This window comes from Homo sapiens, chromosome 7 (assembly GCF_000001405.40).
Source record: "Homo sapiens chromosome 7, GRCh38.p14 Primary Assembly".
Taxonomy (NCBI): domain Eukaryota; kingdom Metazoa; phylum Chordata; class Mammalia; order Primates; family Hominidae; genus Homo; species Homo sapiens.
This window is the reverse complement of record NC_000007.14, coordinates 11629107-11642527: the sequence shown is the minus strand read 5'-3', so window position 1 is coordinate 11642527 and position 13421 is coordinate 11629107. Positions and strand designations below refer to the sequence as shown.

At 35.4% G+C, this 13421-nt stretch overlaps 1 protein-coding gene across 6 annotated transcripts in view; it reads left to right on the top strand.

Annotated features, from left to right (window-relative positions):
- Positions 1 to 13421, top strand: part of THSD7A (thrombospondin type 1 domain containing 7A) — a 461834-nt gene that overhangs the window by 189671 nt on the left and 258742 nt on the right. For all 6 annotated transcript variants that reach the window (XM_006715662.2, XM_006715660.2, XM_006715659.2 and 3 more), the window contains one exon: positions 5567 to 6398. In XM_006715662.2, the coding sequence (XP_006715725.1) occupies positions 5567 to 6398 (832 nt within the window). The remainder of the gene's footprint in view (positions 1 to 5566; positions 6399 to 13421) is intronic.

The window sequence follows — 13421 nt, the reverse complement described above, 5'->3', positions numbered from 1 at the left end:
TAAGTGTTCTGCACATGTTTATTGACCCACATTGTAGAAGTGCTTTGTATGATACTGAGTAAACACCATCCTACAAATCTGTATGCAGGAATACATTTTCATTCACAGGGGGATATTATCCATAGCCTTAAATGGAAAGCTGCCTGTCCTTTATTTTGCTCAATCAGATTCCAAATTCCTTCTAAATAATAATGAACAAAACAATAAAAGAAGCAATTTTTGAACCAATGATAATTCTTACTGTTCTTTTCAAAAACCAAACACCACTCCACCAGATTTTCTGCTACCCCTACCTCCCACTCTTAGTAATGTAGGATGCAGAGCTGAATTTTAACATTTACACAGAAACATTTGCTGCACACTGTCACATTGTAATTGGTAGAGGATTTCATATTTTCCTTGATAGAGTTTGCATATTGTGTTTTCAAATTGTACTTTAAAACATTTGCACCCCTTGAAACATGGTAGTTAATTGGGTTAACAATTCTCAGTTTTCAAGAGGATTTTTAGATGTGGTCCCTTTTCTATTGAATGTGGTCCTTTTTCTATTCAATTTGGTCTCTTTTCAATGTGTACTTGTGTCAAGACTGCTTGGAGGGAAGAAGTAGACAGCCCTTCATCGTGTGTACTGTGGGGAAGATCTGATCTTTCAAAGGGTTGGTTAATTGGACACACATGCGATACCCAAGGTGCAATGAAAAGATAAGGGCAGTTAAAGCCTACAAGGTGGACGATGGGTTTATTTATTTTATTATATTATATTTTATTTTATTTTATTTTAGGTTCAATCATGACTATACTTCCACCTCTGCTTTCACTGGTGCCTTCATGCATTTTATTGTTTTCCTTTAGCCTCAGTAGATCTTTTTATATATCTCCATGAAGTTTTCTCAGGATATGTTATCTGCTGGTTCTCAATGTAAATATACTTGGAATAAGATAAATCCCACAATGTTATCTGTGAGTAGCTGGTTAATAAAAATCTGTGGGAATATTATTGAAATGGGAATTGGAATATATTTATATTTATAACATATGCTTTTCTTAGTTATCTAAGCAAACTTTAGAAACTCTTGTGCCTTATCTATATATAATAGTATTCTTGAATTCAATCTCTTTATTCCCGCTGGCACTGACATCAAAAATATAATGCCTGGGATATTAAGATCTATAAACTAACTTCTCTCCTTTCTAAACAAAATTATTGAAGCAATTTATCCAAAAGTAAGCCATTGAAATTAAAAGGCATGTTCAAACCATGGAATGTAACAGGTTATTCCATTAAATTAGCAGAACTGCAAAGCTTTTACAAATATAATTAGCTAATTAAGCATATGTAAAAGGTATACACACACACGTATGTGATGTTCCTGGTATTCAATGAGGAACATCAAAGTAAGAACTATCTTACTTATATAATGAATTCTGAATTTGAAATAACACTTGTCAATATTTCTATATGTCAAATGGTAATTTTAAATTAAGTGATCAAAAAACTATTTTCACTGACTAACCACCCTCTGTAGTGGGATCAACATTGTGAAAAATCAATAAAGAACTAGGTGATTAGAAATGTTCTTGGTTGAGAAAATTTAGTTTCTCAAAACTAAAGAATGAAGATATACTCCTCAACCCCTTTAGGGAGTGCATTTTTATTTTTTATAAAGTGGGAAAAGAACATTTGATTCATGGTGTTATAAATAAGATGCCAGTATTATTAAACTTTTATATGGGCTGTTTTCTTTTATTTCTTAAGGCATTTGTACATCTTGAGTAGAAATAAAATATTATATTTTTATATGTAGCTGAAAATCATTGCAGAAATATATGCTTTTAACTAGCTCTGAAGACAAGAGAATATTCTAGTAAGAAATACTATAGTTGACACCCGTGATCATCTGAAATCTGCCTCCAAGACAATGCTAATTTCAGAAAAACATCGTGCATATTTAGTTATCCAAAATATATGTAATATTACTACAACAGATAACATGGAGAAATTAGAGGTTCTCAAGGTTACACTGCGGTTCTGATTGTAATTAAATATAGATTTGTATTTTTAAGTTATGTCACTAGTATCTGCTTGTGTTTTCAATAACTAGATAAAAATCAAAAATCTCTAGATAATCAATGATATACTGCAATGGCTTAAAGGAAAAGCACATTTTGTCTTTATCCACAATTAATTATGCAAATGGCATCTGTTGAATCATAAATTGATTGGAAGTATTTTCTTGATTTGGTTTCTGATTTTATTCATTCATTCAATAAATATTACTGAACTTGTTCTATGTGTACTGTCTAAAACTGTTGCAGGCGGCAGACAAGGGCCTGTCCTCAAGGGGCTATAGAGTCAGTCTAATGTGATAAACAGATATTAAATATTTGAAAAAATTACTGATTCTACTAACCGAAAGTGTGACTAACATTTAAACATTACGTGAGAAACATATATGGTACTCTGGAAGTGTGTAAAAAGGGAGCTCTCCATAATTTGATGTCAGTAAATGATGAATCATTTTCAAAGCAACCATCTTCTACTTTTATTTTAGAATGAACTTAGAAGTAAGCCAAGATTTTTTGCTAAAATTTGGTTTGTAAGAGTTTGATATCTTCACCAGTCCTTATCTTGTCTAAGGTAATTTTCAGACTTAAGAGTTGACTAGTGTAGCATAGTTCTGTTTCATAGTTGTTTTAGGGAAAAAAAGTTATTTTCAGTATGCGTGTTTTCCTTAGCAATAACATATAGACTTGAAGTCAATTCACATTTTGTGTACTCAGATTTCTATAATAAAACATTAATTTGTGTTAATTAGTAAATCACATCTATTTTATTTTATTTATTATTATTATTTTTTTTGAGACGGAGTCTCAATCTGTTGCCCAGGCTGGAGTGCAGTGGTGCCATCTCGGCTCACTGCAACCTCCACCTCCTGGGTTCACACCATTCTCCTGCCTCAGCCTCCCGAGTAGCTAGGACTACAGCGCCCGCCACCACGCTTGGCTAATTTTTTGTATTTTTAGTACAGACAGGGTTTCACTGTGTTAGTCAGGATGGTCTCGATCTCCTGACCTTGTGATCCGCCCGCCTCGGCCTCCCAAAGTGCTGGGATTACAGGCATGAGCCACAGCGCCCGGCCCAATCACAACTATTAATAATAGTGCTGCCTACCTAAAAATGTACAGTTATGTTTTTTAAGTGACACCCTTATAAGTTTGCTATAAAAAATCATTTGTTTACACTCTGAGGATAAAAGACTAGTAGCCTCAATCTGATTAGTCAGTCTAATTTCATAATTAATTTTAAAAACTGGAAAAAAATAATATATCAGGAAGTTCAACTAAATTACATCTGGGATTTAGAGTCTGATTTAGTATAAGACACTTATATTTTCAAATTCAGACTTAATGGCATATAGTTTACTCTTAATTTGAGAGTCTGATATAAATATGTCTTTATATGTTGTGTTCAGATGGAAAATAAGGACCACTGTTTTGTTCAAGCACAGTGGGGATGGGGAATAAATGCCAAGGATGTGTGGAATTAATTAGAAAATTTTATACATATTACTGGGTTCTCATTTTGAGAAGTTTCCTAGGTTCTGTGGTTCCCAAAGTGAGTATTTAGAAAAATCTTTAAGAAAGTATCACCAGATTTGTGAATATATATTTTTTCTTTGGCAAGTTAAAAATAAGATTAAAATATTATTAGGTGGATTGCATTTTGACAGATGCAACAAACCCACTGGCTTTCTCCCATAAAGTTTCAACATTCATACTTCAAGGAGACTGTTTCCCAGTCTCCTTGAGTATTTTATATCCCTTATAAGAATGTTACATCACTAATAAGCATGAGCATTTTACATCCCTTATAATTTTGTACATGCAAACTTCATAAAGGAATGATACGGGTATGCCAACTATGCAATATTTACTTTCATGCAATAATGATTAGTTAGCACAATATTTACAGCAAGTCTCTATTCTATTTACAACTCCATAATGCCATTTGTAAGGAAATTCTCAACAAACTTTAAACATCTTTCTCATTAAGCAAAATTAAATGTTTAGATTAAATATGATAGGCACATTCTTTATATTTCTTTATTCATATACTAGCAATTGTTATGTACAGAAGAAACTAACTGAGGCTAAAGCTCTAATGTCCAAGAGAAATCATACAACTAAAAGTTGGAACTGGAATCTAAAATCCAGAATGGTTTTGTTATTCATTAAATATTTGAACTCAGCAAATCACTTTCCCTTCTTGTTTCCTGTTTTTCTCATCCGTAGAGCGAATCCATTGACCTACTTTAGCAGGTTTCAAATTTCCACAGTAGAAACCTCTTGCAGACATAATCTTATGCATAATCCCCATGTGAATAAAACTAATAATACAAATAGAGTTTTTCTTATAAAAGCATCAATCAGGGAGGACGACAGTAGTGTAAGGGTGTGAGGGGCACTAGAGCCCACCCCACATGTTGGCCCTCACCTTCCCACACAACAGATGGAAAATGGCTTTAAGGCACATCAAACAATTTCTCAAATTCATGGAATACTTTTTGAAAATCATGTACTTACATGAACTTTAAGTTTCTTTATGATTCCAAAATAATACAATTCTCAATTTCGTAAATTGGGATCTGTCTATTAAAGTACTGAAAATCATATCATCTACCTTAGAAAAAAATAATATATGTGAATATAAAGTTTATTCTAAGAAGGATTTCACAGAAAAAAACCCATATTTCATATTAAAGCCACTGATTTAAGTATCACATCAAACAGCTCTGTAATACCAAATAGTTCATGTTTAAGAAATGAATAAATAAATAAGACCCCAAATAACCTCTCAATGATTAGAAAATTGCAAAAGTCTTTTAGTTACATTTAAATTCCCTTACCCAGCTCTATACTTCACTTGGGAAATGGGGGGGAAATTTGGTAAATTTAAAGGCAGAATGTGTGTAAATGAAGATTTTTGCTTCTTAGTTTTGATAACCAGAGAGTGAACACTTTAAGCTCTAGTGGCACACATGATATACAACTATTAGACCCTTGCAGTCATAGTCTATGAAAATAAAATATGTTGAAGAAGAGAGCAAGTTCCACAAAATAGTTAACTGTCCAGGAAGAGAAATGCCTGCAGGAGAAGTTCTTCACACGGGGCCATTTTCTTTGCCAGTTACTGAAATGGATTTGATGATTGTGAGGCCGGAGTAATGAGTTTTCACTGTGACTAATTTCTGATGTCCTTTATCAGCAAGGATTTCTAACTACCTAAAACAAAGGAAATGAACAAAACCAAACTTTTCGTAATCCCTAAAGGACCCAAAGTGAAATTGTCCCAGAAGTTACCTTATATAGACTCTGTGACACAGTTCCCCTTTTGCAAAAATACTTAGCGAGGATCATTACTTTCCAACAGTCGTGTCCAGAGACCTACTTTGTAACACCGCAGGGAAGTTAATGTACTAGGTCTTGAAAGGTCTTTCTGGAATGTGCAGTAACTTGTAGTTTTCTTCTAGTAGCACTGCTAATTTTTGTGTTATAATTTTTGTAGGTCCATGGGGCCGATGTATGGGAGATGAATGTGGTCCCGGAGGCATCCAAACGAGGGCTGTGTGGTGTGCTCATGTGGAGGGATGGACTACACTGCATACTAACTGTAAGCAGGCCGAGAGACCCAATAACCAGCAGAATTGTTTCAAAGTTTGCGATTGGCACAAAGAGTTGTACGACTGGAGACTGGGACCTTGGAATCAGTGTCAGCCCGTGATTTCAAAAAGCCTAGAGAAACCTCTTGAGTGCATTAAGGGGGAAGAAGGTATTCAGGTGAGGGAGATAGCGTGCATCCAGAAAGACAAAGACATTCCTGCGGAGGATATCATCTGTGAGTACTTTGAGCCCAAGCCTCTCCTGGAGCAGGCTTGCCTCATTCCTTGCCAGCAAGATTGCATCGTGTCTGAATTTTCTGCCTGGTCCGAATGCTCCAAGACCTGCGGCAGCGGGCTCCAGCACCGGACGCGTCATGTGGTGGCGCCCCCGCAGTTCGGAGGCTCTGGCTGTCCAAACCTGACGGAGTTCCAGGTGTGCCAATCCAGTCCATGCGAGGCCGAGGAGCTCAGGTACAGCCTGCATGTGGGGCCCTGGAGCACCTGCTCAATGCCCCACTCCCGACAAGTAAGACAAGCAAGGAGACGCGGGAAGAATAAAGAACGGGAAAAGGACCGCAGCAAAGGAGTAAAGGATCCAGAAGCCCGCGAGCTTATTAAGAAAAAGAGAAACAGAAACAGGCAGAACAGACAAGAGAACAAATATTGGGACATCCAGATTGGATATCAGACCAGAGAGGTTATGTGCATTAACAAGACGGGGAAAGCTGCTGATTTAAGGTAACATTTTAATTACTGTTAACTACACAGGCTTGTCTGTCAAGAATCATGAGTACCTAAGATATCCGGTACTATCTAATAACTTCTGGATTACGTAGGGGCACAACCTAGGATGAGCTACCCCCAAATTTAAGGCTTCTGAGCTTGTGTGAGTTTCTCGGTGTTGTTTCTATTGTGTCCACATTTAGGCCCTGTATTACTTGAGTTATTTTGATTTTCCTTTCAAAGTCTGGAGCATGAGCAATTCTTCATGAAAAGATACTGCTTCTTCTCTATGTGTAGACAGTGTCGTTTCCCTATAATAGAAAAAAAAATTGCTTAGGGGCTGAAATATTGGGATTTTAAATTCAGATACTTATTTTAGTGAGCTAATAGAAAAAGGCATAGTTGTAATCTCTCCAAGACAGCATTTTCAGAATTACCCTATAAACAAAATCTGCTCTAAACAACAACCCAGGGAGCTATACCTAAGAATAATTTTCTTGCACATTGTATATAATGGAATAACTCCCTCCAGAGAAGGAAACAGCAACCAGCCAAAAATAAGGTAAGTAGAGGGTATTGAATCATGAGTAGCCTCATTCAGGAAACATGTAACTAATTAGCTTCATTTTCTAGACAGAAATTATTTAACAAATTATCTTTGGGTACATAATGACTATATTATGAAAAACTATCTCATGTATGATTTACTTATTGTGAAAATAATTTTCATTGAGGATTATCTGAAAGACATGATGTTCTCTGGGTATTTTGAATTTTGCTCTTGGATAAACCAGACCATCTGGGAGTGGCTTATCTGGATATTTGCATAATTGCTTTTTCAGAAATATTTATGCAGTTATGATTTGGATTGAACTGAAAAAAATATAGTAACATCAGTAAGAATTGTATATCAGATTTACTGTAGAAATGATATTGAAAGTGTCATCAACTCTATCACACAGTCTATTCTCTTGATTAAAAAACATATAAGACAAATTTCCCTGAAGTTTCGACCTCTGCGCTTCTGGTGAACAGCTGGATTGTTTTTCTTATGGCCTCTGGAAATCTTGTAACAGACCACATTTGCATGTTAACTTCTTCTGTTAAGAACCTAAATAGGACTGTGTGGCATGCATGTTGTTTATTAACATATCTTTAGCTTTATTTAGCTTTATTTTTTTTCTCACCTGATTTTTTTTTCAATCTATTCTTGTCTACTGATTTTGCTATGCATAGATTTTGAAATCTGGTTTAAAGTGTTTTTGGAAAAGGATATAGTTTAATTAGATAAACAAAAATTGATTGGTCTGTCTAAGACAATAACTTTCTCTCATCATAGAGTTCTGGTTACTGTTTTTTGGAATTTTTGCTACTCTCTCCCCTCTTTGTATTGACACGATTGCATTTTATTTCAGCTGTACGGTAATTTGCCCTTTTTCCATTCTAGTTCTGGTCCTGTGGCCTTGAATGAAGGCTGTTGTTCTGCCTTCATTCTCCAGGTTTCCTACAACTCCTTAAATGTGTGTGTGTGTATGTGTGTGTGTGTGTGTGTACCTCTGATTCTGTATCATGTATATTTTCAACTCAATTCCTATTTTGTTCTTTTCTGACTATCCTTATTCTGGTGATTTTCTTATCTCTTTTCCTGAAGTATATTACAGTTATATTAGTTACTTGGCTGACATCAAATAATTGAATGAGTCTCCAAGACAAGTTGAGTTGTTTCCTGCTATCACTGGGTTAGCATGCTGTAGACATTTAATTTAACGTTGACTACTCAATTAAAAGTGTAATTAGGTTAGTAGCTACCATTGCATAGAGCCTAATATTCTCATCCAGTTGTTTGAATTAAACAAACATATTTAAAACTGCAGAGTTTATTTGTCAGGAACTTGTATCCCATTAGAAATAGCATATATAACTTCCAATAAATTGATAGTTGCATATATTTTCTGACTTATTACAGTATAGGTTAAACTTTATGTTAAATATATTGGCTGTGAATATTTCTATTATATATGAATTATCATGTGTGATCAAGAAAGTCCTAGAGAAGAAGAGATAAAAATCAGATATTTTGACCTACGTTTTGCTCAGATATTATACCATGATATCAGTGAAGCCAATAAAGTGAAGAGTGAATCAATGACATCACCAAAGCACAGGGCCACAAATCAAGAACTTAGTGATCAAATTTAAAATGTTTTAGCTTCTATTAAATCCAGAAACAATTTTACCATGTAGGAGAATAAAAATAATTTAATATGGCTAAAAATTACATTATAGTAACTGCATAAGTTTAACTAAATAAAACCAAGAATCTGGGGAGGCAGATCATAGACAAAAATAATTTTAGAATTACTGCTCAAATGTTTAAGTTAACAATGATGGATCTGCCCTGCTTTCCACTTTCCAATAGACCAAAATCAATAAGAATGAAAAACACAAATGAAACTCTATTCTGACAGCAGGAAACGGTTACAGTCCCAAACCACAGTTGATACAGAAATTTGGCTAATGTGGTAAAATTAGACACAACTTAGGGAGGACACTTAGAAGGGCATTATGTGTTACAGCTTTCATGAACACTCAGAATCTCTAAGAGTAGCCTGAACTTTCTGAGGGGACAAGCCAATGACACTTCCTTAGCATGACATGGTCTGTGTCAATGAAAAGGGCTGCTGAAGCATACTTGAGTTCTGCTTGAAATCAGAATAGCATAATAGGCAGGAAGCCCACTATGCTATTATTGCCAACAAAAGACTATCAGTTTGACAGACTGAGGGATTAAAGTTTTGACAACTAGTGGAAGAGAATTCTAAATCACTACACATACACTAGGACACAGGAAGCTTCCCTGTAAACCAGTGACTTCCAGCCAGGCTGGGTGAAATCTTAGCAGGACCAAGAGATGGTATGAAAGTATACCAGGTGTTTCTCCAAGAAACCAAAGATGTTAAAGGAAATATGGTTTTCTGAATCCAAAACAGAAAGAATTTAAAAACAGAATGAGTTTAAAAGTGATCTGTTAGAGCTCAAAAAAGAAATGGAGGAGATTTATAAAATAAGAACAGAAATGCAATTCACATTAGAAGCAATAAAAAATGGAAAAATATTTGGTGGTGAAAAGAGTCAATGACATAGAGAACAGTTTGAGAACATCAAATAAACTAATTTTTAAAAGAGATAATGGATATGCAAACAAAGGACATTACTATATGAAACGCTGATGTTCCTGAAGATAGAACCAGAAAAATTAAAACAGAAAACACAACAAAATACAAGGATAAGACTTTCCTGAAATTAAAAGAAGACCTTGATTCACACATCGAAATTGTACAAGACTAATATTCTGCAAGAAGAAGTTGAAATAATGACCTAATGGGAGAACTAATATAGATCAACTTTTATGGAGAGAGATAGGTGAAGAGACATCAGACTGAAAGCTGGGACGGTGCTCAACTGTGAAACATTAGAAGCATTCTCTTTAAAGTAAAAAATAAGACAGGACAGCAGATTATCTGTAATGATAAGACCTTTTCATTCTAAGTACCAGTCAATGTACCTGAAAAGAGAAGGAAATGAAAATTAGAAAGCAAGTGGTAAAAATAAGACCTTTTCCCTCAGATGTTACGATAATTCTGGAATACTCCAGCTAATCAATTGAAAATATAAACAATAAAAAAATCAATAAGGTTGATGTACACAAATATAATATCCAAAAATCAATATATTCCCTAGATGCTTAAAAAATTAAATATTATAATGGGGAAAAAGATTAAAATATCTCATTTGCAAAAGGAAAACTTAAAACAAATATGTAAATATGCTTAACTATAAAAGTTCTGCACTTAACACTAGACTTGGAAAAATAGAAAAGGATGTAGTTGTGCTTGTCTAGAATATTTAGTAAATATACCAACTGTACATTGTTACTGTGAAATTTATAAGGGAAAAATAGATGTATTAGACAGGAAAATACTGAAAAATAAAGAGAGAGGAAAGGCTAACTTCACAAGATAATTAAGTGCATTATACTCTATGGTAATAACGATAACAAGTAATATAATAAATTATATTTATACAAACAGATTAGGCACAGCCACTCATCATTTACAGAAATTTTATATCAATGTAAGGAACTGTTTACCAATTAAGTTCCCAGATCCCAGCCAAGGGCAAACCCTCCAAGCAGGCCTTTTTAAGGATAGAAGTCTCAGCCTGCAGTACTAACTCTTATGAGTGTTAAATAAAATTTACAGGAGGCCATTGGTCAGGATTGAGCCTCCTCCTCCTGCACCAGGCCCAACAGACCAAACCAAAATGGTGTTGCTTATCTAAAAGTTCCAGTCACCAAACTGAAAATAAGTTCTTTATCTGCCTTCTGAGAAATCAGGGGAGAGAGAGGTAATAGCCAAATCCCCAAACAGGCCAATCCTAGCAGACACGATAAGGATTTTTTGTTTGTTTTTGTGTTTGTTTTTTTTTCTGCTGTAACCTTTACAGAAAAGTAACTTTGAAATGACCAATCCACGTTTTGTTTTCTGTTTTGCTTTCCTCAGCCCTTTACTATCTATAAAATCAACCTCCTCTGCTCAGCTCATGGGAATATTTATTCCAACTTGTGGAATGAAGTGTTGCCAAATTCCAGAATTGCAGATAAAACCTATTAACATATTTAAATTTGTTATGATTTTTTTCGTTTGACATAGACAAAATCATGCAGTTATTACCACATAAGGTATGTGATTTGGAATTAAACATGAGGAAGTAAAGGCAATTTTACTCCACTCCCCTGCCTTGAAATCACCCAGTAACCCCAATCAAGGAAATAATCTACAGTTTAAAAACAAAAAAAGGAAAATGGAAAACTGAAAAAACGAAGTGTCTATATGATAAATCTGTGCCTCAGAGACGGAGGAAGCTAGAACCTGAAGCATGAAAGAGACTCCTCTAAAGCACCCAGTGGCACAATCCATAAAGGTTTATCCAAGGCTCTTCTTATTGGATTATCCCAATCTGGTGGGGGGAAGGGCAAGACACAGGGAATCTGGGGAAGGTCCCTTAAGAGCCAGTTCCCCACCCCAGAATCACAGAAGTGTAGCTGTTGGGGAAATTAAGCAGAAATGTTATTTTCTGGTCTTCTGGCTGAGGTAAGCTGTCAAAGGTAGAATGGAGGAGGAGTAGGGAGAGGAGGCAGCCATCTCCAGACTGCAACAAGCATAGCCTGTGATTGCCATTGCATCCTCACCTCTGGAATGCTCTACCTGATGCAGCTCACCTTCTCCTCAAATGAAGAACCAAATCTGCGTATTGAAGAGCAAGGAACAAGGATGAAATCTGCTCTAAGTAATACTAGAAACATTTAATGGATGTAGTGCCTACTTTTGAAAATATCTTCCATTTGAACCTATCTCGTTTTGTCGAATTGTCTGACAAGGGCAATTAATGGTAATTATAATTCCAGGAGAAGCATTTCCAAAAAGTGTGGGAAATTCAGCCCAGTGAATTCCTGAGGGAATAAGACAGATTTAGGATTTTAAACAGATTTCTGTTGGCTAAGCCAAGAAAAGTAGAACTATCCAGCTTCTAGATAACTCCATAAAGCAGATACTTCAGGCACAAATACATGGGATAAACATAACTGGGTAAAACATGAAGGGGTGAATATTATAATAACCTCTAGAAATATTAACATCTTGGAGTATTTTTATCTCATTTCTGTTACCAAATTCATTTTTCATTTTAAGTCTTTATATAAATTCAGCCTTAGCATTTCAGAGAGTAATGAATAATACTTCTTAAAGTGGATTTCTGATTTTTGTTTTCCAGGCCCAGACTTTCTGGCATCCCCTCTCATCTTCAAATTTAAAACTGTTGAGCAGAAAATTGTATTTTTTCTCAACACAGCTTATCTCTTTTTGCCTGGTTCTTATTTTACCTTAGAATACTAGTTGTTAATTACTCCAAACTTCTGTTTTAGGATTGCTTTCCAGAATGGTGATATCAAACTTGAATATAAAGCATTTGCTTTATAACAGTTGTGAAGCTGGCTGAATCAACAAGAATGGAATTTCAGTAATGGATAATTGGGATAAATAAATAATAAATAAGAATAGTAAACCTATGCATTCATGGCTACAGAGTATTGAACAAGTCATTTACACTTTCTGGGACCCAGCTTTCTCATCTGTAAACCATACGTGTTCTGGGATAGGCAATGATGAGGTAGAGAGGGAGAGAGCCTAAAAATAAATCTCTAAAAGCCTTTCAACTTTTGTGATTCTAATGAACCCCAAACAAACACCATACCTAAAATTGCAGACATAAAATCCTATATATCTTTCTTGGCAGAGAGTTAATTAATTTTCAACATGGCCTACAGATCAGTTCATACTGAAACATCAGGGTGAATTTCTATGCAGTGCCTATAGACTAAGGCAGCTCTCCGCAGTCTTGGGAGTAACTGCAAGGTTATCACTCAGTTGATGAGCTATATGGTTCCTGAGGGCCCATCCCCACGCTACGACTTTGTGAATCAGTAAAATTGCAAATCTAATCCTAACCTTACCAAAGAGAAAGGAGAAAATTGCCCACTATTTAAAGTAACACTCCTTTTAGGTTGTTCAGAATCCATTTATAAAATTACTACTTCTAAATAGCAGGCTTTTAGATCTTAAAACTTTCTGTTATATCCAAAGCGTCGAGTTGCCCGCCAGATACTCATCATCACGTCTCGCAAGCTTGCCTCGGCTGCCTGTTGGCCACACCTGACTAAACAGAGTCAGTATGCCCATATTCTTTGGTAGATGGTAGATGGCTAAAAAGGACATTTTAGTTTTCTCAAAATGTCGAGCTGACCAGGCAGTATATTATGTTTGACCTTAGAGGTCCACTATCACCTCTTCCCCATCCTGCTCGTGTGTCTGGATGCTGACCTCTGAGCAGTGTATTCATAGGCTTCTGAGCCTTCTTTCTCATTGGATTCTACCAATGGGAGAAAGCAGCAGTATATCAGATGGTGGGAAGAGAGACTAT